Source organism: Homo sapiens, chromosome 11 (genome assembly GCF_000001405.40).
Source record: "Homo sapiens chromosome 11, GRCh38.p14 Primary Assembly".
Lineage (NCBI taxonomy): Eukaryota > Metazoa > Chordata > Mammalia > Primates > Hominidae > Homo > Homo sapiens.
This window is the reverse complement of record NC_000011.10, coordinates 71,934,073-71,961,590: the sequence shown is the minus strand read 5'-3', so window position 1 is coordinate 71,961,590 and position 27,518 is coordinate 71,934,073. Positions and strand designations below refer to the sequence as shown.

At 42.6% G+C, this 27,518-nt stretch overlaps 1 protein-coding gene across 7 annotated transcripts in view, besides 2 other annotated features; it reads right to left on the bottom strand.

The window, feature by feature from the left end:
- The window catches only part of RNF121 (ring finger protein 121), a 68,552-nt gene that overhangs the window by 36,007 nt on the left and 5,027 nt on the right, over positions 1-27,518 (bottom strand). For 4 of the 7 annotated variants that reach the window (NR_024148.2, NR_024147.2, NM_001300926.2 and 1 more), the window contains exon 2: positions 700-841. Coding sequence is in view for 5 of the 7 variants with exons in the window: in NM_001300926.2 (NP_001287855.1) it covers positions 700-841 (142 nt within the window). In the remaining 2 variants the exon portion in view is untranslated. Of the gene's footprint in view, positions 1-699; positions 842-4,326; positions 4,365-27,518 lie in introns of all 7 variants that reach the window. The other 3 variants (NM_018320.5, XM_006718629.2, XM_006718632.2) reach the window with 1 other exon arrangement.
- Positions 10,673-11,608: an enhancer, noted in NCBI's record as "H3K4me1 hESC enhancer chr11:71661029-71661964 (GRCh37/hg19 assembly coordinates)". NCBI's record gives its function as "activates a minimal SCP1, AML or CMV promoter by ChIP-STARR-seq in naive H9 embryonic stem cells {active_cell/tissue: H9 hESC(naive)}" and the evidence as "EXISTENCE:reporter gene assay evidence [ECO:0000049][PMID:30033119]".
- Positions 11,609-12,546: an enhancer, noted in NCBI's record as "H3K4me1 hESC enhancer chr11:71660091-71661028 (GRCh37/hg19 assembly coordinates)". NCBI's record gives its function as "activates a minimal SCP1, AML or CMV promoter by ChIP-STARR-seq in naive H9 embryonic stem cells {active_cell/tissue: H9 hESC(naive)}" and the evidence as "EXISTENCE:reporter gene assay evidence [ECO:0000049][PMID:30033119]".

The window sequence follows — 27,518 nt, the reverse complement described above, 5'->3', positions numbered from 1 at the left end:
CATTACTGTTTTTTCTTTTTCTTTTTTTTGAGACAGAGTCTTGCTCTGTCTCCAGGCTGGAGTGCAATGGCACGATCACGACTCACTGCAGCCTTGACCTCCCAGGCTCAAGGAATCTTCCCACCTCTCAGCCTCCCCAGTAGCTGAGACTATAGGCGCATGCCACCACGCCTGGCTAATTTCTCTATTTTTTGTAGATATAGGGTTTTGCCATGTTGCCCAGGCTAGTCTTGAACTCCTGAGCTGAAGCCATCTGCCCACCTCAATCTCCCAAAGTACTAGGATTACAAACATGAGCCACCACACCCGATCCTTCTTTAAAAAAATTTAGATTAGTGTAATCTAGATCCTGTAAGATTCATGAGATGCTTAGTTTTCCCAGTCAATTCATCTTTGCTCTCTCCAATTGAATAGTTCCTGATGATTATCTCCTTCATGAACCTGTCCCACAATGTTTCGAAGGGAAAACCTATCTTTTCTGCCTATGAACATAGTCTTATGTTCTATCCTTTTCACCCTCTGAATCACCTGACCCTTAGACACACACTCGCCAATACACTATTCATCATTCATACATAAAGTTCATTGTTATTGTCTTTCTCCACCTCCATGTGGCCTGGGTTAGGCTGGGACCTAGAATACTTAGGAAGGGTCTCTTGATGACTGACAGACAAAGAAGTAAGAGGCAAAGTGGCTTACATTGTAGGAGCGTGGGTGCCTCTGCTTCCACTGCACCAGGAGCAGCTGGGCCACCACCAAGGTTGCGATGAGGATGAGGACCATTTCAGCATGCATAGCTTCATGGCCACGGTGCTTGGCATGCATGCGTGCGTGCTCGACCCTGAAAGCCAAACACATGGGGTGAATCAAGTCAGGGATGCTGTAGTGATAAAGGGACAGTGCTTTCCAGGGATATCCCACCAGTACATAGCTCAGAACACATTCCCTGCTTCATAGCTGCAGGGTACCACACAAATTAGGGGCTAGGACACACACCCTAACAGACAGGCATGTCGAGATAGAATACAGGCTCTACGGACCCCCCAGCAACCAAGCCTAGATATTGGAATTAGAGCTAAGTGGCCTGCTGCCTGCCCCCATGGAAGAAACAGCTGACACCTTTCCTGTAGCATGAAGGAGGTCCCAGGAGAAACCTGCATCATTGCCCATTTCAAGTCTATTTCAACCTGATGCTGGAACGAGAAAGTAACCCAAAGAGGTTATAGACATAAAGTCTCATACGCTTAGTCACCAATATTTATGACAGCAGTAAAGGAGTAACGCTGCAAATGTGTGCTGATTCCAGGATTAAAGTCTTGCTTTATTCATTCCACCCTCTCTGCCAGAGTCAGAAATCCTTAAGACTAGTTAAAGCCTAAAAAGTCTGGACTGCTTCAACTTTATACTAATCCAACAGTGACTTTACCCTCAGTATCCACAGGTAAACAGCCTCCTCAAAGGCTCAAGGAAGTTTAGTAACTAGAGAGTACAGCTGGAAACTTTTTATTAATCTAAGGCTGGCATTCGCTGGTCTTAAAGACTGGCAGCAAGTGATTCCCTTGGCTAATACTGGCTAAAAACTTGTTCTAAGAACAGTCACTCCTACCACTCTGGGTCACAGTCATCCAAAGGAGAGGAATGAGAAAGGAATTAGAGGCCGGGCGCGGTGGCTCACACCTGTAATCCCAGCACTTTGAGAGGCTGAGGCCGGAGGATCACGTGAGGTCAGGAGTTAACGATGAGCCTGGCCAACATGGCGAAACCCCGTCTCTACTAAAAATACAAAAATTAGCCGGGTGTGGTGGTGCATGCCTGTGATCCCAGCTACTCAGGAGGCTGAGGCAGGAGAATCACTTGAACCTGGGAGGTGGAGGTTGCAGTCAGCCAAGATCGCAACACTGCACTCCGTCCTGGGCGACAGAATGAGATTCCATCTCAAAAAAAAAAAAAAAAGAAGAAGAGAGAGAGAAGAGAAGGAATTAGAGAGAAAATCAAATACATCAGAATGTGTGGGAAAGGGCAAATTTAAATAAATAATAAAATCAAATACAAATGTAACTTGAGTCATAAGCTTTTATACAATTCCCATTACACCAGGGTATTTAGGAGGGAGGAAAAGGACAACATAAATAGTGTCTTCATGGAATTTCCATGGGCAATTAAACATTAACAGCAAAAATAACCCAGAAGGATGAATTATAAACAATAAAGCAAATATAACAAAAAGTGTAGAACCCAGGTGGTAAGTATAAAGGTGTTCACTGTACAATTCTTTCAACTTTTCTATGTGTTTAAAGTTTTTCATAACAAAATGTAAGGGGGGAAAACTTGGTGGGCAGAGTGGGAAGCCAAATGCCAGTCAGTAAGCCTCAGCACCTAAGGGTTCATCTGACATAAAACTTTACCCTGGGTGGGAGAATCTGACAGAAAGAGAATAGGATTGGGAGTTCGAAACTTAGATTCAGACCCACCTATATGGCCATGGCCAATTAACCTCACATCTGTATATCACAATTTCTTCATCTGTCAAAAGGAGTCCATATTTTTTCTGCCTGACTCAAGAGTTGTTGTGAGAATAGGCTAAGAGGGTAGAGCACACTTAAAAACACCTAAGGGCTATGAGGAGTTATAAAGATAGCAAGAGATAAGTTTCTTGTTCTCAGACAACATATCAGTGAACGGATGTGCACAAAATGAAGTCAAAGAATGATCTAGAAAAGACCAGAGAAGTCATCCAGTTCAAGTTCCCACCCAATGCAAAAATCATTTTTGCAATCTTTGCTTGAATACTTCCACTGGCTGAGAACACATGCCTTTTAAGGTAATCTATTTTAGAACCAGCAGTGTCTGGCACATTGTAGGTACATATACATATATTATTTTTTTGGAGAGAGTCTCGCTCTGTCATCCAGGCTAGATGAACTGCAGCCTCGAACTGCTGGGCTCAAGGGATCCTCCTACCTTGGCCTCCCAAAGTGCTGGGATTACAGGTGGGAGCTACCACACCTGGGCAGGTACTAATATTTGCTTATAAATGAATAAAATCCCAATGTTTTAGGGACAGAAAGCTCATTACCTCTCAATATACCTTGACTATTAAAGACAGTTCTGACAATGAGACAAAAAAAAAATCTATCTTCTTATAGCTTCAGTCCATTAGACCTAATCCGATACTCCATAACAACAAAGGACATATTGACTCTTCTTTCCCAATGCCACCCCTTCAAAGATTTATCATGATGTTATTCAAACAAAACAAAACCATCCTGTTCCTACCACTATTTTCCTGTGCCCTTTGAGGCTAACAGTTCTAGATCTTTTAACCACTGTTCATATAACATGATATGAAGACTATTAATCCAGGTTGCCTTCTTCTACACATGATCCAGTTAAAGATCTTTTTAATATGCCATGCTTAGAACAAAATATTTGTGACCTCAGCAGAGCAGACCACAGTGGCACTATCACCTCTCTTACAGCAGACAGCATATTTCTACGAACATCTTTTAAATTATTCAGAATATTTTGGTAGCTGAGGTACACAACTGGTTCATACTAAGCTTAAAATCACCTAAAATCACACTGGGTTTGTCATGTGAACAGGTATTTTTGCCATTCTATGTTTTTATAGTCAATAGTTTTAATCTAAATAAAATCAATAGGTTTTTTCTCACTATTAAATTCTAAGGTTGATATCACCTCATTGGTCAGTCACCTTGTGAAGTTCGTGGGGCAGGCACTCTGAAACCCTTTTACTGATGAGCAATCATCATAAGATATATGATGGCTCATTCTATTTACAAAACAAGTTAGTTGCAGAGTTGAGAACAGAAGATACATCTCCCATTTTCTTAACCAGAGCTCCCCATCCTGTATCATGGATAATAATGATGATGTTAATGATAATCATCTTCAAAGCAGTTAACACTTACTGTAAGCTTACCACATGCCAGGCACTCTTCTAAGATTTTCACATATATTAATCCTCACAACTCTATGAGGTATAGATATTGTTATGATCCTCATTTTACAAATGGGGCAAAGTAAGGTTGTGAGAAGTTAAGTAACTTGCTCAAAAATCACACAGCTAGTAAATGGTAGAAATGGTATTGAAACCCAGATAGATGATTTGGTGCAATCATCTGCTTACACATTCAAGACTAAGAGAGCAACCCAGATACTTAGAGAGATCCCAAAAGACCAGTCCTACCGGTCATGAGCCACTGCCTCCTACTGACAAGAAAGCAAAATGGGTAGACATATCACTCAATTAAGCTGGGTTAACCTGCAGTTCCTAGACTGCAGGGCCCGAACTACCACACTTACCTCCATTGCTCTTCTGGAGAGAGATCTGACATATCAACCTGTAGAAAGACACCACCAGAAAAATCCGTTACTGTCTTAAAACTGTCCCTGCCAATATAAGGTGCTCACACATTTATCAGTATCTTCAAGGAATTAGAGAAGCTTCAAGTCTTAGTATCTCTATGAAGCCTTACCAACCATTCTATTTCACACTGATCTCTCCCTTCTTTAACAGCTTAGTTTGACTCATGTCTATGACTGAATGTGTTGCACGTCTGTGCTAGGCAATAAGGGCAGAGGAGGACAAGAATCCTTAACTCCAAAGACGCTCACAGACTAGTGAGAAAGACAGACGTAAACAGAAAATTTATCTATTATATAATAAAGACTAGCTATAGAACAAAGAGGTGCCTTGCCTTTTAACCTTTTAACCCAATCTGGGGTGTTTTAGACTAGGGAAGGCTTTATGGAGGAGATGTGAATTATCCAGAAGAAGAAATAAGAGAAATACATTCCAGGCAAAGGGACTAAAATGGACAGGAAGGAATAAAATTGCATAGTACACAAGCAATTGAGTATGGCTAGAGCAAAAAGTATGAATCAGGATTAGTGGGAGACAGAGTTAGATATAACACCATGTGACTCTAAATGGCCCTATGGTAGCCGCTAGGCTACACTGGACCTGGGCAAACTGAATTTAGTTCTTGCCCTGCTGCTATTAACTAGCGATATCACTAGCCATCCGACTTCAAAGTTCTCGTTCTATTTGGTAGTCTTATCTTTTCAGAGCTTGTTTTCAACCTTGGCACTACTGATATTTTAGGGTGGTTCATTCCCTGTTGAGGAAGGTGTCCTGTATATTGCCATAGCGTCCCCCTAGTTGAAAACCACTGCTCTAGAATAATACTATATTCTTTGAGTTTAGGGCTCAAGTCTTCTACCTCCTTGCAGTCATACAGAAGCATACCCAAGTCTCAGTACATAAGTCACTCAATGCATTCTTATACTGAATTGAGCTGAAAATGTTCTTTGATCTGATCTACAGAAGAGAGACAAGGCCTTAGAAATACTCAAATCAATCAACAACCATTCCTTTAGTACTTAAGATGTTCAAGGTCCTGTTACCCACGTTCTGATAACGTCAGGAAAGTCCCATAAGTTGAACATTTGAAATAGTAACACAGGTAGAACTTCATTCTACTACTGAGTCAAATCAGCACATATTTACCAGGCATCCTTTATGTATGTGTACTGGAAATGCCCATCACTATTGAAGGTGGCCTTTCCAGCTGCTACATCTCCCAGCTAAGTCAAAAAATAAATTTACCAGGACTTTGCCTAACCAATCTAGGTAATGAAGTCAACATCCCTCCTTCCTTTTCCTACCCACACTGCCTCACAGAATTTATTCAGGTGCCCTGACTCAGGCCTTCATCTCCCAGAAGGATAGAGGTCAGATACTCTGAGGGGACACATGGGAGGTACCTGAGCAGGCAATTATGAATCACATTTCTAAATAACAATCCATGCACAGGTTTCAAGCTACATGCCAAAACTCTTCTTCTTCTTCTCCAACTTGGACCTGCATCTTACCAAGCCTATCTATTAATTGTCCCAAGACACGTGGGACTCATTTCTGTCTCTGGGCCTTTGCATACCCTTCCTTGTACTTACAATGCCCTTCCCTATTTTTCGTTGTTGTTGTTGTTTGTTTCTTATCTACATCCTAGTTATCCTTTAAGAACCCAGCTCCAACTGCAACTTTCCTGATTCCCTAGCCTAGGGAATTTGGTCCTCTGCCTTTCTCCAGCATGGATATTTCTCTTTTTCACTCAAAGTGTAGCCCATGGACTGGCAGTATCAGCATCATTTGGGTGCTTGATAGAAATGTAACATCTCAGGTACCACTCCAGACCCACTGAATCACAATCTGCCTTTTAATAAGACCTCCAGGTGATCAATATGTACATTAAATTTGAGAAGCACTGTTCTATGTTAGTCATTCAGTCTCATGTTATCTTAGACATCCTTTCTAAGTGGTCTAACAGCTTGTCTCTAGCACCAGGATAGGGCAAGCAAGAGACCTGGGGCTCAAAATTTAAGGAAGCACTCACTCTCAGGTACCTACCCTGCACTTGCAGGACCTTAAGAGTGAATGGCTCTCTAAAGTTTATACCCTAGCACCTTGTTTCCCTCACCCTAGTCCTGGCCCTGTTTATGTTTATTTGTTTCCATCCCATGAACATATTAGTTCCCTCAGAGCCAAGACACACTTTATAGTGATTTATGTCTTTCAAGGAGAACAGCACAGAGCTGAGCATATATTAAGCACTCAATGAGTACTTGTGGAATTGAAGAAAATTCTCTTTATTAAGGGAAGCAAGTATGCTGACAAACCAGCACCTCACCTGGAGATGCTTAAATTGTACAGAGTAAACAAACACTTGAAAAATAACTAATAAGCATCAGGGAAAGGAGTATTCATTTGACACCAGGGAAATCATGTTAAAAACTATGTAACAAAACAAAGCAACTACCTGTTCAAGAAACCAAATCCAATGAGGGGGAAACTAGGAAAATCTGGAATACTGGGCCAGGCATGAAGGTGCCTCTCTTTGACATAATGGACCAAGCATGCTACTGTCTATGGCTTAGTTTCTCCATCTAGAAAATAGAGAAATAAGACTTCTGACTTCATTATAGAGCTGTGAAGAAAGTATATTCAAGGTGATCAAGTGATTTCACTGCCTTTCCTCCTGGCAAAGTGGACATATTTTAAAACTACTAGAAGAGGCCAGAGATAATTGAATGTTGGTGAAGCAGAGGACAGTAATGCTGTCAGAGCCTCAGGGAAGGCAGCTCGGAAGGGCAAGAACTAAGGCTGAGACTAGACTTGAGGCTTAGAGGATCATTAGCACTTCATGGAGTACTACAAATGTTAAGAGTAAGACATGATCTGGCTTTAATATTTGCCTCCTGACCAAAAAGGTTATTTAAGTTACATCCAAACCAGTCTTCCTGCTCAAGTAAAAAAAAATAAGGGAAGGAGTAAACTATGGCTATAATTAACCTGTACCATCTGGAAAGGCATCTTCATTTGCTCCCTCATTAAGGAGTTTATTCATTTGGGGCCAAGCATTAACTCAGTCTGAAGGCACCTTGTCCAAAGCTCAGGTAGCTAATTAGGTAAGGCTCTCAAGATAAGGATACTTACTGATTCATGAGCCCTTATCCAACTCCTAAGACCTACAGTGACTTAATGCTAGCCAATTGCTCCCCAACTAGGATCTCACAAGGCCCCCAGTCATGCCCAGATTTGAAAGACATTAAACCAAAAATAAATGCTAGGCAGAGGGAAAGAGAACATTTTGCAAAGATGAAAAATTATGAGAAGTTGACTGCTACATTTTTTTTAGGTTCAAAAGACTCAGGGACTCACTAACGTATCCCCACAAACAGGTCTCCTGTCCCCCCAAAATATCATAAACCCTATGATCTCTGCATCTGTAGGCAGGCTGCTCATTTTGTCCCTTAAGGCCCTTTCTTTCACCAAACCACATTCTGCCTTACTGCAAAACTCTGGCCAAATCCTTCTGGTCTCTAGTAGGCTCTTTAGACAGACCCCATTTATTGAAGAACAAACATCCTCTACTGCCTTGCTAAGTGTGGTCTACAGCCTAGCACCAAGAGTACCCTGAGAGCTTGTTAAGAAACAGAAAATCGCAGACTCCATCCCAGACCTCCTGAGTCAGAATCTGAATTTTAATAAGATACTGAAATAATTCATATGTACATTAAAGTTTGAGAAGCACTGCTACTACATCCCAGCACTCACAATCACAAATTGCATCTACAGCCATACGCATCTGTACACTTGACTCTTTATTTAACAACTTTACAGAGATCTAACTCACATACCATAAAATTCACCCATTTAAAGTGTGCTATTCTGAGGTTGGGCACGGTGGCTCATGCCTGTAATCCCAGCACTTTGGGAGTCTGAGGCAGAGGATCTCTTGAGGCCAGGAATTTGAGACCAGCCTGGGTAACACAGCGAGAACCCATCTCTACAAAAAATAAATAAATTAGCCAGGCGTGGTGGCATGTGCCTGTAGTCCCAGCTACTTGGGAGGCTAAGGCAGGAGGACTGCTTAAGCCCAGGAGTTTGAGGCTGCAGTGAGCCCTGATCACAGCAATGCACTCCAGTCTGGGTGACAGTGCAAGACCCTGTCTCTAAAAAAATAAATAAAATGTACTATTCTGTACAAAATCTCAGACAAGAGGAATATGTTTTTTCTTTGAGTTCTATTGCACAGCATGGTTAATACTGTTCATAACAGAATATTGTACATTTCAAAATTGCTGAGAGTGAATTTTCAAATGTAGTCACCACAAAAAATGTTAAGTATTTGAGGTGATCGATAAGTTACTAGCTTGATTTAATTATTCCACATTGTATTTATGAAATTTTTTTTTTTGAGACAGAGTCTTGCTCTATCGCCCCAGCTAGAGTGCAGTGGCACGATGTCAGCTCACTCAACCTCCGCCTTCCAGGCTCAAGTGATTCCCTCGCCTCAGCCTCCTGAGTAGCTAGGATTACAGGCATGCGCCACCACGCCTGGCTAATTTTTGTATTTTTAGTAAAGATAGGGTTTCACCATGTTGGCCAGGCTGGTCTCGAACTTCTGACCTCAAGTGACCTGCCTGCCTCAGCCTCCCAAAGTGCTAGGATTACAGGCATGAGCCACCGAGCCTGGCCATGTATTTATAAATTATAACATCAGTCTGTATCCCACAAACTTACACAAATATATAAATTGTCAATTTAAAATTTTAAAAAATTAAGTATACTATTCGAGATTTTTAGTATATTCACAAAGTTGTGCCACTATCACCACCAAGTTGAGAACATTTTTGTCACCTCAAAATAAAATCATGTGCCAGTTAGCAGTCACTCTCCATGTTCCCTGCAGCCCAAGGCAACCACTAATTTACATTCTGTCTCTATCTATAGATTTGCCTATTCTAGACAGTTCATATAAATGGGATCATAAATATATGGTCTTTTGTGACTGGCTTCTTTTCACTTTGCATAATTCTTTCAAGGTTCATCCACTTTGTAGCATGTACTGTAGTTCATTCGTTTGTATTGCCAAAGAATATTCCATCGTATAAATACCACGTTATTTATCCATTCATCAGCTGATGAATGTAGGCATTGTTTCTACTTTTTGGCTATTATAAATAATGCTACTATGAACATCCATCTTTAAATTTTTGTGTGAATATATGTTTTCATTTCTCTTGAGTGTATACCTAGAAGCAGAATTGCTGGATCATATGGTAAGTCTCTGCTTAACCTTTTGAGGAACTAGCAAACTGTTTTCCACGGCAGCTGTACCATTTTACAGTCCCACCAGCAGTGTGTGAGGGTTCCAATTTCTCCATATCCTTCCCAGTACTTATAATCTCTGATTAAAGCATCCAGTGACTATGAAATGGTATCTCAATGTGGTTTTGATTTTCCATTTCCCTGACAGCTAAATGACGTTGGACTTCTTTTCATGTGTTCTTTGGCCATTTGTGTATCTTCTTTGGAGAAAAGTCTATTCATAGCCTTTGTCCATGGTTTTTTTTTTTTTTTTTTAAGAGACAGGGTCTTGCTATAGTGCCCAGGCTGGAGTACAGTGGCTATTCACAGGCATGATCATTGTACATTAGAGCCTCAAATCCCTGGGCTCAAGCAATCCTCCCACCCCAGCCACCCAAGTAGCTGGGACTACCTCCCAAGTAGCTGAGACTACCTCAGCCTCCCAAGTAGCTAGGACTACAGAGGACTACCCTCTGCAGGGGCTAGGATTATATCTCGCTCCCACTTTTCACCCCAAAAAATTGGTTCAAGGCAACAAAATACCCTTCTCAGTGAAGAAAAAAATAATGTACATCCTAATCTGGCACAGGTCTTTACTTGCTATATGTCAATGAATAGGGTACCTCTCTCTATGCCTCAGTTTCCTCATTTATAAAATGAGAGAGTTGGCTTAGACGACTTTCATTATTGCATTTTTTTTTTTTTGAGACGGAGTTTTGCTCTTGTGCAATGGCACAATCTCGGCTTACCGCAACCTCTGCCTCCCAGGTTCAAGCGATTCTCCCACCTCAGCGTCCCGAGTAGTTGAGATTACAGGCATGCACCACCACGCCCAACTAATTTTGTATTTTTAGTAGAGACAGGGTTTCTCCATGTTGGTCAGGCTGGTCTCAAACTGCCGACCTCAGGTGATCCGTCCACCTCAGCCTCCCAAAGTGCTGGGATTACAGGTGTGGGCCACCATACCCAGCCTCATTATTGCATTCTTCAGCTAAAATGCTATAATAATTCAAATAAAATCTGTCTAACTCCAAAGTTCTGGAGTGAGCTATAATACTCTGGCCTTCAAAACTGCTATAGTTTCCCTAGTTACCACAGAATTAAAAGTTAAGATGCTGCCTGTAGTCCCAGCTACTGGGGAGGCTGAGGCAGGGGAATGGTGTGAACCCAGGGGGCGGAGCTTGCAGTGAGCCAAGACCGCGCCACTGCACTCCAGCCTGGGAGACAGAGCAAGACTCCGCCTCAAACAAAAAAAAAGTAAGATGCCTTTAGTGTGGTGAGGTATAACTGGATGCTACCAAATCATATCAACAATTTTTTTTTTTTAAGACAGAGTCTTGCTCTGTCGTGTCGCCCAGACTGGAGTGCGATGGCATGATCTCGGTTCACTGCAACCTCCACCTCCTGGGTTCAAGCGATTCTCCTGCCTCAGCCTCCCCAGTAGCTGGGATTACAGGTGCAAGCCATCACGCCTGGCTAATTTTTGTATTTTTAGTAGAGACAGGGTTTCATCATGTTGGCCAGGCCAGTCTCAAACTCCTGACATAAGTGATCCACTAACCTCGGCCTTCCAAAGTGCTGGGATTACAGGCGTGAGCCACCGTGCCTGGCTATATCAATAAAAATCTACCAAGGGACTACCATATGCATACATCAAAAATATCTATCACTCAGAGGATGGCCTCCCACCCTGGCTTCAAGTATCTGCTAACTGTAAAGGGCCCTAAACTCTGAAACCCAATCCTTCACCTCTTTGGCTGAGCAACCTAGCATTTCAGACAATTCAGCTGATCCTTTCATACTAACAACTGATCAACTATACAGCTAGAGAATTCTTTTTTTTATATTTTTTGTTTGTTTTTGGGTTTTTTGTGCGAGTTTTGTGTGTGTGTGTGTGTGTTCTGTTTTGTTTTTGAGATGGAGTCTTGCTCTGTCGCCCAGACTGGAGTGCACTGGCGCAATCTTGGCTCACTGCAACGTCTGCCTCCCAGGTTTAAGCAATTCTCTGCCTCAGCCTCCAGAGTAGTTGGGATTACAGGTACGTGCCACCACGCCCAGCTAATGTTTTGTATTTTTTTTTTCAGTAGAGACAGGGTTTCACCATCTTAGCCAGGGTGGTCTTGGACTCCTGACCTCGTGATCCACCCACCTCAGCCTCCCAAAGTGCTGGGATTACAGGTGTGAGCCACCGTGCCCGGCCGTGTGCATGTGTTTTGAGATGGAGTCTTACTCTGTCACCTAGGTTGGAGTGCAGTGGCACAACCTTGGTCTCCTGGGTTCAAGCGATTCTTCTGCCTTAGCCTCCCAAGTAGCTGGGATTATAGACACGCACCACCACACCCAGCTAATTTTTGTAGTTTTAGTACAGATGGGGTTTTCACCATGTTGGCCAGGTTGGTCTTGAACTCCTGACCTCAAGTGATCTGCCTGCCTGGGCCTCCCAAAGTGTTGGGATTACGGGCATTAGCCACCATGCCTGGCCTGTTTTTGTTTTTTTGAGACAGGGTCTCACTCTGTCGCCCAAGCTGGAGTGCCGTAGTGCAATCACAGATCACTGCAGTGTCGACTTTCCAGGCCTAAGCAATCCTCCCACCTCAGTTTCCTGAGTAGCTGGGACTATAGGCACGTGCCACCACACCCAGCTAATTCTTAAATTTTTTGTAGATAAGGGGTCTCCACATGTTGTCCTGGCTGCTCTTGAACTTCTGGGCTCAAGTGACCCGCTCACCCCAGCCTGCCAAAGTGCTAGGATTACAGGCGTGAACCACCATGCCCAGCCAAGACTTCATTCTTTCACAAAACATTAAAGAGGAATAAGCCCAACCTTTGCCCTTGATGTATTCACAGTCCAAGAAGTAGGGAGAGACAGACTATTAAATATAAAATAATATGATAAGGATAACCTTTGACATATACACAAAATGCTGTGTAAGCCCCAGAGAAAAAGACAGATTAGCTAGCTCATGAAACCTGGTAGGTTCAGCACAACCAGGCTAACTGTCTCTATCTGGTGGGGTTCAGATACTGTGGTATTCTGCGTGATTAAGATAACAAGTGAAGTCCAAAGGTTCACAGGCTACCACATTTGTAGCTCCCCATTCTCCTCTCATTCACATTCTTCCCCAACTCCTCAGCTTTGCCAAGAATTCAAGGCTAATAAGTTGAAGTGGAAACCTCACCTTTCAGGCCACCAAAGTCATAAATCAGCTGGAGATCATGCAGACACTGGATATGGTTAGCCTGACAAGGGTGGCACACTTTGGGCAGTGAAGTGAAAGTAGATGTTGGCTCTAACAGCTGCTACAGCTGCTGCCTGCCCTTTACCCCCACCCCTCATCAGAAAGCACAACCTCCTGGCCAGCTGAGTTGATAAGCTTTTTTTTTTTTTTTTTTTTTTTTTTGGAGACAGTTTCACTCTGTTGCCCAGGCTGGAGTGCAGTGGCGCAATCTCAGGTCACTGCAACCTCTACCTTCCAGGTTCAAGCGATTCTCATGCCTCAGCCTCCCAAGTAGGTGGGGCTACAAGTGCAGCCACCACGCCCGGCTAATTTTTGTACGTTTAGTAAAGATGGGGTTTCACCACGTTGACAAGGCTGGTCTCGAACTTCTGACCTCAAGTTATCCAACTGCCTCGGCCTCTCAAAGTGCTGGGATTACAGGCGTGAGCCACCGCACCTGGCCAAAAACCTTTTTAAATTAAACTTTTCAAATTTGGGAGCAACTAAGTTTGCTTCTTTGGTTCTTCAATTGCTATCCCATCAAATTCCTATTTTTCAGTCTGGCTTCCTCCCTCTCTGGCCCTCCTCTCTCACTCTTTCCTATATGCACTGCAGCTTTCCATATACTCAAACTTTTTACCCATCTTTAAAGATCCAATCTAGGTGTCACCTCCTCCAGAATCTTTCAGAACAGAACTATCCTCTATGAACTCCTAAGGCCTTTACAGCCCATACAGTTCATGTGCTGATCATATCTAAACATCTATAAAATCTCCCTTGAGTTTTTCATTGCCATAGTGCCTTAGTTCAGACTTTATCCCTTGCTCTTTCTCTAACAATTGGAGTGGCCTCCAAAATGATCTCCCCGACTCTAACTTTGCCAGCACAGATTCATGACACAGCAGCAGCCACAGTGATCTTTATTAGACACACACCTGATTGCATCATCCTACTACTTTGACAAACTTTGATGACTTTCTATTGCCTTGGGGTTAAAGTTCAAACTCCTTAGTAGGACACACAAAGGACTTCATAATATGGCCCAACCAGCGACCTTATTTCACCACTCTCCACCAAATGGCTTACATTCCAGCCACATTGAACTATCTATCTCTTTCATCCCTCAGTGCTTTCTTTGGCTGCTGCCGTCTTTTCTCTCTAGAATTCTCTACTCACCTTCACTCCTTCACTGCCCAATTCCTTTTTTTTTTTTGAGACAGGTCTTTGTCACTCAGGTTGTAGCGCAGTGGCTTGATCATAGCTCACTGCAGTCTCAACCTTCTGGGCTCAAGGGATCCTCCTGCCTCAGCCTCCTGAGTAGCTAGGACTATAGGCACATGCCACCATGCCTGGGTAATTTTTGTTATTTTCTGTAAAGATGAGGTCTCTACAAACTTCTGGGCTCAAGTGATCCTCCGGCGCTGGCCTCCCAAAGTGCTCGGATTACAGGTGTGAGCCACCATGCCTAGCCATATCATCCATTTTAAGTAAGAAATTCAATTATTGTTAGTATATTTAAAATAAGATGCAACCAGCCAGGCACAGTGGCTCAAGCCTGTAATCTTAACACTTTGGGAGGCCAGGCAGGCGGGTCATCTGAGGTCAGGAGGTTGAGACCACATGGGCAACATGGTGAAACCCCGTCTCTACTTAAAATACAAGTTAGCCAGGTGTGGTGGCGCATGCCTGTAATCCCAGCTACTAGGGAGGCTGAGGCAGGAGAATTGCTGGAACCCAGGAAGCGGAGGTTGCAGCAAGCCGAGATCATGCAACTGCACTCCAGCCTGGGTGACAGAGCGATACTGTCTCAAAAAAAAAAAAAAAAAAAAGAGCCAGAGCACCTGTAATCCCAGCTACTTAGGAGGCTGAAGCAGGAGAACCACTTGAACCCGGGAGGCAGAGGCTGCAGTGAGCTGAGACTGCACCACTGCACTCCAGCCTGGGTAACAGAGGGAGATTCTGTCTCCAAAAACATAATAATAATAAATAAAATAAGATGCAACCATCTTATTTTAAATCATTTCCGTCACTCTAAAAAAAAAAAAAAAACCTCATGCTCATTTACTAACTCCTCATTCCCATCCCCAAGCCCTGGTAACCATTAATTTCTTTTATACTGCTATATATTTGCCTTTTCTGGACCTTTCATACAAATGAATTCATTCAGCAGCTGAATGTGACAGCATATGCCTGTAAACCCAGCTACTCTGTGGAGGGTGACAGGGGAAAATCCTGTGAGTCAGGAGTTACAGACCAGCCTGGGCAACACGGCAAGACCTTATCTCAAAAATAAATAAATAAATTCATTCATTGAGTATGTGATCTTTTGTGACTGTCTTCTTTCACTCATCAAAATGTTTTCAAGGATCACCCATCACCCATGTTATAGCACTTATCAGGAGTTCACTCCTTTTCTTACTAAATAATATTCCATTGCATAGGCAGACACATTTTATTTATCCTTTCATCAGAGGATAGACATTTAGGTTATTTCTACTTGGGGCTATTATGAGTAATGTTCCTATCAATATTTGTGTATAAGTTTCTGTGCGGATTTTTCTTTTCTTTTCTTTTCTTTTCTTTTTTAAGGCAGAGTCTTACTCTGTTACCCAGGCTGGAGTGCAGTGGCACAAACATAACTCACTGCAGCCTCAACCTCCTGGGCTCAAGTGATACTCCCACCTCAGCCTCCCGAGTAGCAGGGACTACAGAAACGAGCCACCATGTCTGGCTATTTTTTATTTTCAGGGAAGATGGGGTTTCTCTATGTTGCCCAAGCTGGTCTTGAACTCCCGGGTTCAAGTGATCCACCCTCCTCAGCCTCCCAAAGTGCTGGGATTACAGGTGTAAGCTACTGGGCCTGGCCTTTTGCCCATTTTTTACTAGGTTATTTTTTTTATTATTGATGAGTTGTAAAAGCTCTTTATATCTTCTATAGACAAATACCTTATTAATATATGATTTGCAAACAGTTTTTCCCATTTAGCCATCCTAGTGGATCTGAAATGGTTAAAGGATCATTTGAGTCGTATTCTTCTTTGTATTTCAGAGAACTAGCTCATAATCTGGTATACTGTATGTGTTCAATAAATGACAGACAGATGTTAAATAATATTAACTGCTTTGGAAACAAGGATAAATGACTTACTTGTTCAGCATCCCCTTCACACTTCACACTTAGAACTAGACACAAAGCAAATGCTTGGGAAATACTCAGACACTGAGTAATTCTCTCTTAATTCTCTCTTGAACAAACAGTGGGGATGATATTGCAGAAGAATCCAGAGGAACTGGGAAAGCCATCTGATACAGCCAACGGCTACTAAGTTTAAAAGTGACTCCTTTTGGCACAGTGGCCATGTGAAAAAAATTAAAAATCTTAAAAATAAATAAATAAAAGTGAATCTTGGCCAGACATGTTGGCTCATGCCTGTAATCTCAACACTTTGGGAGCCCGAGGCAGGAGGATCACTTGAGGCCAGGAGTTGGGAGACCCAGCTGGGTAACATAGCAAGACTCCATCTCTACAAAAAATTTAAAAATTAGCCAAGTGTGGTGGCACACACCTGTAGTCCCAGCTACTCAGGAGGCTGAGGCAGGAGGATCACTTGAGCCCAGGAGGTTCAGACTGCAGTGAGCCATGATCACACCACTGCACTCCAGCCTGGGTGACAGAAGACCCTGTCTCAAAAAAAAAAACAACAAAAAAGTGACTCTTCCTTGTAAGAGAAATACTAACATAATCCTACTTGATCTTTAATAGCCAGCAGTAAATACTTTCCAAACTTAACACAGCATACAGCTAGGACTGAAGGAAGATTTAGGGAGAAGGGAAAACCAAAGTTCATGGCTGGTAGTACCAGAAGGCCTAGATCAGTGGGGTAAGAAATATATCTACTATCTTTTCCTTCCTTCCTATTACTCAGTCTACAAACTTAATCCAGGTCCTTCAACCTCATGTACTTCTCGAGTCACTGTGTCACCCAAGTTCAAATCTTCTGGTGTCCTAATGCTGCCTGTGAAAGTAAGAACTCCTTAGTAGACTACACAATGCCCTCCACAGGAGCACGGACAGTGAGCTCTTGGGACCACACAAGGCCATGACCTGACCCCTAGCTGTCTTTCCAGTTTTACCTTCCTCTGCTCCCAGCTCCTTTGGGACTTAACATATGCTCTCCTGCAGTATATATAATACACCAGAAATTATGTGCATTTTAGAATTAGATAAATTTGGAAGCCCTACTTGCCTGGATTAAGGCAAATTTTTCCTGCCCCTTAGTCCCTCCTCCATTTCTGCCCCAAGAATGATCTTTCTATAATGCACATCTGATCCATGTCATTCACCTAAGTTCCTCTTTTTTTTTGAGACAGAGTCTCGCTCTGTTGCCCAGGCAGGAGTGCAGTGGCACAATCTCGGCTCACTGCAACCTCCACCTCCTAGCTTTAAGTGATTCTCCTGCCTCAGTCTCCCGAGTGGCTGGGATTACAGGTGCATGCCACCACGCCTGGCTAATTTTTTGTATTTTTAGTAGAGACGGGGTTTCATCATGTTGCCCAAGCTGGTCTCGAACTCCTGACCTCAAGTGATCCTCCCACCTCAGCCTCCCAAAGTGCTGGGATTACAGACATGAGTTACCGTGCCCAGCCAACCTAAGTTCTTAAAGCTCTTCTACAGCTAATCATCAGCTACAGATAAAAATCCAAACTCCTCAGCACAGCATATAAGGCCTTATGTGTCATCACATCTGCCTCCCTTTCCAGTCTCCCTATTTTATCATTACTCCCCACCTTCTACTCTGAGGTTCCAGTAATACTAAACTGCATACAGTTCCCTGAAGGTGGCATTCTCTTTCTCACCTCCCACCTTGCACATGCTGCTCCTCCTGCCTAGAGGGCTCTTCTATTCTTTCTTTAGCTGGTTAATTTCTAGTCACTTTCACACTCAGCTATGGTATCACTTCTAGGGAGTCTTTTCTGATCCCTTGCCTGCCATTTTTGGTGCTCCCTGAAATCTCTGCTTCTTCATATTATAGCAATTATTACATCTGTTTACTAACTTTTCCACTACACCATGAGCAACCTGAGAGCAAGGCCTATGTCTTTGTTATCTTTCACATCTAATGCAGTACCTTGGTAAATTCACAGTATGTGACCAATCAATAAACAAGTGAACAGGATTCTCCCAACATACACGAGGCTGGCGTAACAAATGCCTTTATTATTTTAAAGCTGACAGCATTACCTTATTGACTTGTCACAGATAACAGCTGCATGGCAGAGCTAGGATAAAAAGCCAGATCTTCAGAGTCCCAGAACAACGTCCAAACCTCTCCCTGAGCTATAAGCTCGTATTTCCAACTGCCTAATTAACATGGCACCTAATGGTACCATGGTGATGCCATTTACTCAAGTCAAAGCAAAAAATTCAAAAAAATATAAAAGCAAGCTTGATTATTTTCTTTCCCTTACATCACATATCCAATCCACCAGCAAGTCCTGTAGGCTCTATTTCAAAACATATTCTAAATTTATCCACTTTTCTCCATCGTCTCTGCTATCCCTGCTATGGTCTGAATGTTTGTGTTCCCCAAAATTAGTACGTTGAAACCTAACCTCCAATGCAATAGTATTAAGAAGAGGTGGAGGGAACCTTTAGGAGGTGATTAGGTTGTGAAGGTGGAGACCTCATGAATGGGATTAGTGCCCTTACAAAAGTGGCTTTAGGGAGGCTGTGTGTCCCTTCTGCCATGTGAAGACACAGCAACAAGGAGCCCCCTTTGAAGCACAGAGCCTTTGCCAGACATCATATCTGCTAGAACTTTGCCTTTAGACTTCCCAGCCTCCAGAACTGTGAGAAATATATACATATATATGTGTGTGTGTGTGTGTGTGTACATATATATATCTATATATATATATATATACAGATATATAGATTTTTTTTTTGGAGACAGAGTCTCGCTGGAGTGCAGTGGCACGATCTTGGCTCACTGCAACCTCCGCCTCCCAGGTTCAAGCGATTCTCCTGCCTCAGCCTCCAGAGTAGCCGGGATTACTGGCACCTGCCACCATGCCCAGCTAATTTTTTATATTTTTAGTAGAAACGGGGTTTCACCATGTTGGCCTGGCTAGTCTCAAACTCCTAGTCTCAAGTAATCCGCCCGCCTCAGCCTCCCAAAGTCCTGGGATTACAGGCGTGAGCCACTGTGCCCGGCTAAATTTCTGTTGTTTATAAATTACCCAGTCTAAGGTATTTTACTATAGCAGCCCAAAAGGACTAAAACACCCCCCACCGAATCCAAAACACTATCATCTCCCATATGGACTATTACCATAACTTCCTAACCCTCTCACTGAGTCACCTCCTACAATCCATTCTTCTCAAAGCAGCCAGAAAGATCTTTTAAAAAATGAAAATCAGCTCACATCACTCCCATTTTGAAACCCAATCAAAATCTTTTCATTGCCGGGCACGGTGGTTCATGCCTGTAATCCCAGCACTTTGGGAGGTCGAGGCAGATGGATTATTAGGTCAGGAGATTGAGACCATCCTGGCTAACATGGTGAAACCCCGTCTCTAATAAAAAATACAAAAAAATAGCTGGGCGTGGTGGCAGGCACCTGTAGTCCCAGCTACTCGGGAGGCTGAGGCAGGAGAATGGCACGAACCCAGGAGGCGGAGCTTGCAGCGAGCCAAGATCGCGCTACTGCACTCCAGCCTGGGCAACAGAGCAAGACTCCGTCTCAAAAAAAAAAAAAAAAAAAATTCTCATTACACGCTCAATAAAATTCAACATGTATCACAGCAGCTACAAGGCCTTATAAATCTGACCTTGCCAGACTCCCTGACCTCATACAGAACCATTTTTCCTTTGCTAATTATGATCTGTCACACTGGCTTTCTTTTTGGTCCCAGGACATGCCTTGTTCATTCCCATTAATTTGTACTTGCTTCTCCCTCCACTTGGAACATATCTGCTTCCAAATCTCGAAATTGCTAGGTCTTCACCATTCAGGACTTGGTTCAAGTAGCATTTCCTCAGAGGCTTTCCATAATCACCCTATTTAAAGTAGCCTTTCTCTTCTAGTCATCTTTATCACATTACATTACTTTTCTCAAAGCATTTGTCACCATCTGGAGTTATCCTGTTTATTTGTTATCTACTTTACCACATTAGAAACTAAACCTAATATGAGCAAGGACCTCAGTTGTCTTGTTCACTGCTGAATTACTGGGACCTAGAAAAATGTTTGACACTGAAGTCACAAGTATTTGAAGAAGGAAATAATGAATAATTAATACAGACCACAAACTTAATAAATGTTTACTGAATACATGAGTGAACGAATTAGGGAGAGAAATAAAGGGCAAAACATAAATAAGTGAAAGCACTGCTATTTAACATTTTTATAGCTGCTCACTTCTCTCTACCCTACTGTCTTTGCTCAAGCTCAGGTCCGCATCATCTCGCTCCTAAACTACTGCAATATCTCCTAACTGATTTATTCTCCTTTTTCCAACCTGATCCTTCCAAAAGTAACTTCCAAACTTCAATTAGACTTGGTCATTCTGAGACAGAGATCTAAACACATTACTCCCCTGCTCAAGACTCTTCAGTGGCTCTCTACAGCCCAGGCTTTTTAGCACAGTCACTCACTGCTATCCCCTTACGTTTAACCTAAATTCCAGTCATACAGAACTGCGTACAGTCCCAGAATATTCCACGCTGTTTAACGTCTCCAAGCCTTGCATATCTTTTCATTTTGCTGGACCACTCACTCTTCCTTACCTCACTGATTTTGACTACCTATTGAACTCAACTTAATCCTCAAGAACAAACTCAAAACATCTTCTCCATTAAGTCTTTAAGGATTCCCGAAGCAGAGTTAATCACTCCCTCCTTTGTGTCATCACAGTACTTAACACATGCTGACACTATACTACAACCATCTGTTCCCATGTCTGGTTTACCTCACAGGACTATTAATCTCGTGAGAGCAGGAGCCACATTTTCATCTTTGTGTCCCCAGCACAGTATCTAGCATATATCAGAACTCAATAATTGGTGACTGAAGGAATGAATAAATGTATCCAAACTCCTCAGCCTGGCATTCAAAAGTCAACCTCATGTTGGCCCCAACCTACCTTTTTTAATTTAGCTCTTACTCTTCTCTTACTTGCTAATCACAAATACATCCTCATTTCTCAACATTGACCTTGGGCGTTCATTCCTAATGCTCTAATGAAATTCAAATCATCCATGAAGGCCGAACTCAAATGGCTCCCTCTCCAAGAAGTCTTCCCTAGCCATATCCATGAGAGGGTACTTCCCCTACAGTACTTTGTTTTTTTCTACCGGAAAAAAACATTTAGTACTTCTTATTTTAGAATTATGGCCACTATCTTTCCAACTGGACTACATGTCTTATTTTTCTAACTAGACTGTAAATTCCCTGAATGCAAGAAACATGGTTTTCTCTCAACCCAAATCCCTAACATAGTGACTTGCACAAAGCATGCAGTTATCAGTAAATATATCATTAGTGAGGAATCATATGCTCAAGGATTAGAGACTTCATGTCTTTATTCCTTTATACATATGCTTTTACCTTGGCCTAAAGTGGCCTCCTATCCACATGATAAACTTTTAAGAATCAGCCTAAATGCCATACCCTATCGGAAGTCTTCTTTAATGCTCCCAAATAGACTTAAGCACTCCTTCTTCTGTACACTTGTGGCATCTTGTACGTAATTTATAACTCTACTCCTCATACTATATTGTCATTATCACTTGATGGGTTCCTCTCCCAACTAGACCATAACTTCTTTAGAGCAGAGATAGTCTCTTTGTCCATTTATTAATTCCCAAGACTAAAAAGAGTACCTGGCATAATTAAGTGCACAATAAATACATAGTGACTTTTGAAAATAATGAATCCATGTCATAGTGTATACCAGCAATAGTGTACACTATAACATGAAGACATGAGGTTGTATCACCATGTTCAAATCCCACCTCCACTTACAAGCTGTGTGACCCTGAATAAATTACTTTTCTGTGTCTCAGTTTTTCTCATCTGGAAAATTAAGATAACAGTATTAAAATAGAATTAGCTTTTCCTCTTCCAGTAAGCAGCCTAAGATGATCTGTGAAAATGGTTGGCTATTAACTTGACCCAGAACACCCCACAAAATCATGCAAATCAAGATATTAAAATCTTCATATTCACTTTAAGAGTCAAGAAACTGCCCAGGCCATAGGGGTGGAGGGAAGTTGCGGGGGGCGGTGCAAATCCAAAAAGCCACAAAGTATCTGAAAGATGTCACTTTATAGAAGCCATGTAAGCCATTCCATTGTTCCAACTGTGGAGTCAGTAAGTGTGCCTAAGCCAAACAGTGAGGCTGGGCACAGGGTTAGTGGACCAAAAAGACTGAATTTTTGCTGCACATGCTTAAAAATGCAGAGTAATGCTGAACTTAACAGTTTAGATGAGCCAGGGACAGTGGCTCACACCTGTAATCCCAGCACTTTGGGAGTCCAAGGTGGGCAGATCACCTGAGATCAGGAGTTCGAGATCAGCCTGGCTAATATGGTGAAACTCCATCTCTACAAAAATACAACAATTAGCCGGGCATGATGGCGGGTGCCTGTAATCCCAGCTACTGGGGAGGCTGAGGTGGGAGAATCGCTTGAACTCGGGAGGCAAAGGTTGCAGTGAGCCGAGATCACACCATTGCACTCCAGCCTGGGCGACAGAGCGAGACTCCGTCTCAAAGAAAAAAAAAAGAGTTTAGATGTATTAATAGATTATCTGGTCATCAAACATATCCAGGTGCATGAAGCACCCAAGATGCACTGCCATATTTACAGAGCTCAAAACCAAATTAACCTATACATGAGCTCCCCTGCCACACTGAGATGATCCTACCAAAAAGGAAAAAATTGTTCCTTAACCAGAAGAGGTGGTTGCACAGAAGAAAAAGATCCCAGAAGAAATGGATGAAACAAAAGCTTATGGTAGGAGAATAAATTTAGGATAAAATAAATTCAAATAAAAGGTTTCTTAGAAGAATTAAGGCCGGGAGCAGTGACTTACGCCTGTAATCCCAGCACTTTGGGAGGCCGAAGCAGGCGGATCACCTGAGATCGGGAGTTCGAGACCAGCCTGACCAACATGGAGAAACCACGTCTCTACTAAAAATGCAAAATTAGCCAGGCGTGGGGGCACATGCCTATAATCCCAGCTACTCAGGAGGCTGAGGCAGAAGAATCGCTTGAACCCAGGAGGCGGAGGTTATGGTGAGCAGAGATCTACCACTGCACTCCAGCCTGGGCAACAAGAGCGAAACTCTGTCTCAAAAAAAAAAAAAAAAAAAAAAATTAAGAGACTACACACGTAAAATGCTTACTTTACTGCCTGGCACATAGTACGCACTAAAAAAGTTAGCTATTCCTGTTACTAAAATAGGAGAAAAGACTGTTCGCAGGGCACTAAATGACAAGCTCAGAGGTAGTTAGGCTCAATCCTATGGGCAACAGGGAGTAAAATGTTGAGGCTTCTAAGTAACAGAATACATTGAGTTATTGATAACACTCTGTGAAAGGAGGACAAAATGAACAGAAACCTTGGCAGGGATTGTGCTCTCTGCTTCCTCTTTCCCCAGTCTCTCCCTAGCTGCCCAGGGCCAAAAGCCCCATGGCCATGATCCAGCATCCTCTTGGGAAAGCTGCACTTTAGAGGGAACTTATGAGTTTATTTTACCTACAGATTTTTCTCTGAGGAGTAGAGGTAGCAAATGACTTCAAGGGAAAACATAAAGAAGTAACATGGAGATGAGGAATGACACAAGATAGATTATATTGGGTTGCCTTCCATGGAGTAAGATTTCAGACCAAATAAAGCCAGGATTACTGGGCCTACATCCCCCAGAGGCATTCTCTGGCAGTGTTTGTGCCATGGCAAGTCAGAGATGCAAAGAAGCAGAATCTGGGAAAAGGTACGACAAGGACTAAAAAGTTGAAGCAATACAGAAATAAGAATCTAATCCAATCTGAAGGACACTCCAATAGAGGCATTCAAAGAAGGAATAGGCTGACCATGGAACGATTAGTTCGCTATCATTAGAGGAGTTCACATACACACTGGTGTCCATTTTCTGGGGATGTTCAACATGGGCAGATGGACTAGATTTAAGATTCATTTTCAAATACAAAAATTAGCTGGGCATGGTGGCAGTGTCTGTAATCCCAGCTACTCCAGAAGCTGAGGCAGGAGAATCACTTGAACCCAGGAGGCGGAGGTTGCAGTGAGCCAAGGTCGCACTCCAGCCTGGGCAAACAGAGCAAGATTCTGTCTCAAAAAAATAAAAAATAAAAATTCAAGTTCAATAAATATTTAAATAACTACTCCATGCTAGCCACTGTGCAAGATTAGGTGCTGAAAATACAGAGATGAAAAAATGATAAGGTGCAGTCCCCTCAAGGAGTTCCCTGCCTAATGGAAAAGACAATACGACATGGTAAGTGCTGACGGAAATCTGTACAGGGCGCTACGGGAGCAGAAAGCAGTGCCGATGACTCACTGATAAGGAACAATTTGGCATTAATTTAAATGAATCCAATGAAAATATTTCATAGGAAGTTTATAAACAAATACTGATAGGGGCTATTGTATTATTTCCAGAACAGATAGTAGGCATGCCAGTCAACCTTTGCAATTTAGTCAACATTCCCTTTATCCTTAACAGAATCCACATCTACAAGCATTCTCATTTACTCAATAAATATATGGATATGGGCTATGTGCCAAGCACTGAGCAAGGCACTGAGGAATGTACAAAGATGAGAAAAATAGTCCCTGCATTAAAGCATTAAAATATTCCTCTTCATCTTCATCTTTCCTTCCTCTCTCTCCTAACCCCTTTACTGACCGAATGACATCTTAAATTCCTTCTGGAAGTAGATGTGTTATTAAGTCATAATAAAAAAGTGACCTGAAAAAGGCCGGGCGCAGTGGCTCACGCCTGTAATCTCAGCACTTTGGGAGGCCGAGGCGGGTGGATCACAAGGTCAGGAGATCGAGACCATCCTGGCTAACACGGTGAAACCCCGTCTCTACTAAAAATACAAAAATAAAAAGTAGCCAGGCGTGGTGGCAGGCACCTGTAGTCCCAGCTACTCGGGAGGCTGAGGCAGGAGAATGGTGTGAACCCAGGAGGCGGAACTTGCAGTGAGCCGAGATCGTGCCACTGCGCTCCAGCCTGGGTGACAGAGCGAGACTCTGTCTAAAAAATAAAAAAGTGACCTGAAAAAAAAGCAAGGGTGAGCTGGGGGTGGCAGGTATTGGAATGGGAATTCAAATGGGAATCTGCCAGGGTATCTGCCAGAGCATGAGGTTTTGACTGAATTCCAAAGTCAAAGGTGATGGAATAAGAGGTTATATGTAAGCCTTTTTGTCTTTTCCTTCCCCATCACCATTTTTAATTCTATCATTCCAATGTTAATTATTAGCACAGATTATTAAGAATAATTATAGGCCAGGCGCAGCAGTTTACGCCTATAATCTCACGCCTATAATCCCAGCACTCTGGGAGGCCAAGGTGGGCAGATCACAAAGTCAGGAGATGGAGACCGTCCTGGCTAACACGGTGAAACCCTGTCTCTACTAAAAATACAAAAAAGTAGCCGGGCGTGGTGGCACACACCTGTAGTCCCAGCTACTCAGGAGGCTGAGGCAGGAGAAACCCTTGAACCCAGGAGGCGGAGGCTGCAGTGAGCCAAGGTCACGCCACTGCACTCTAGCCTGGACAACAGAGACACTCCATCTCAAAAAAAAAAAAAAAAAAAAAGAAAAAGAATATTATGTCTTCATTCATTCATTCAGTCATTCACTAGTATTTACTCAGTACCTGATGAGAGTTATAAGAAACATGGCCAAAATAAAACTCTGTGATCCAAGTCTTTCAAAGCTGCAAGAGATCTCAAAGGTCACCTAGTCCAAACCTATCATTTCACAGATTAAAAACTGAGGTACAGAGGGACTGGAATCTTTCCTGAGTTCACATATTTAAGCATTTATTGAGTCATACTCTATGCCAGGCACAAAGGATATAGGAATGAATAGGCCTTCCTTTCGAGGAGAACACAGTCTGGTGGAAAAGACAAATACCATGACTCCAGTTAAATCACCTCCGGAAAGGAAGACCCAAATGTACATAATGGAAATGTCTAGCATAGAACAGGATGGACAGTATAGAGTACTCATATTGCCCGTTGTGGTTAACAGCACAAGCACTGAAGTAGTCTTGGATTTGAACCCCAGTTCTGTCACTTACCTGGCTGTATAACATTGGGCAACTTACTTAAATTCTCTATGCCTCAGCTTCCACATCTATAAAATGAGATAATAATAATAGTACATATCTTATAAGGTTATGGTATTAAATTAAATAATGAATCTAAGGGCTGGGCGCAGTGGCTCATGCCTGTAATCCCAACACTTTGGGAGGCCAAGGCAGGTGGATTGCTTGAGTCCAGGAGTTCGAGACCAGTCTGAGCAACATGGTGAAACTCTGTCTCTACAAAAATTAGCCAGGCATGGTGGTGCACACCTGTGGTCCCAGCTACTTGGCAGGCTGAGGTGGGAGAATCACCTGAGCCTGGGAGGCTGAGGTTGCAGTGAGCAAAGATCACTCTACTGTACTCCAGCCTGAGTGGCAGAGCAAGACTGTCTAAAAAAAAAAAAAAAAAAAAAGAATGCATTTGGAACACTTGGCACAGGACTAGGCACAGAATAAGTAATCTGTATTATTTCACCCTCAGCACTCTTTTCTGCTAAGCCCTGGCCTCAGAATCCTTCTCGACACAGGCTTCTAAGCATCTATGATCAGATGGCTGTCTCTGAGATAAAACAAATCTGCTATTCCTAGTCTAGAATATGAACCCACTGTTTACTACCCTATGGCTTTTTCCCCACTACACTTGCCACCACTCATTTTACATGCCTAAAAAAAATCCAGAGGTAGTCAGATATCCAAGACTAAACTTCAGTCACATATGCCTTGATCCCTCAGTAAGATATTGGCTTGGACCAAAAATCTCTAGAGAAGAAAATCTCTGGCAACAAGGAACATTTACTAAATGTCTATAGGGAGAGAACCACAGGAGAAAGAACAAACAAACAAACAAAAAACCAGTGATTACTGCTTGAAGAAGCAAGGGATGGGAACTTCCACAGTCTGCCCACTGGGGGTTTACCAACCTAGTGGGAAGAGGAGACGTAACACTGACTGCCACTTCCTCCTTGATGTGCCCACTGCACCCACCCCACTATCACAGCACCTGTGACATATTTTGCATGTACTTATCACTCTTTCTCTACTCATACCAGTCTGTGAACTTTCTGAGGACAATTATCACACTTTATCCATTTTGGTATTATCAGGCACACCAAAGTGCCTGGCACACAGACGTTTCAGAAGTTTGAGGACTAAGTTGAGAAATGAGGGAACAAACTTAAACAGAGAAAACCATAAAAGGCAGGGGGAAAAGGTAGCAGTGTAGATCGGAATAGTCCAAGAAGCCAAGCAAGCTAGAACTTTAAAGGGCAGGTGGAATTTCAAA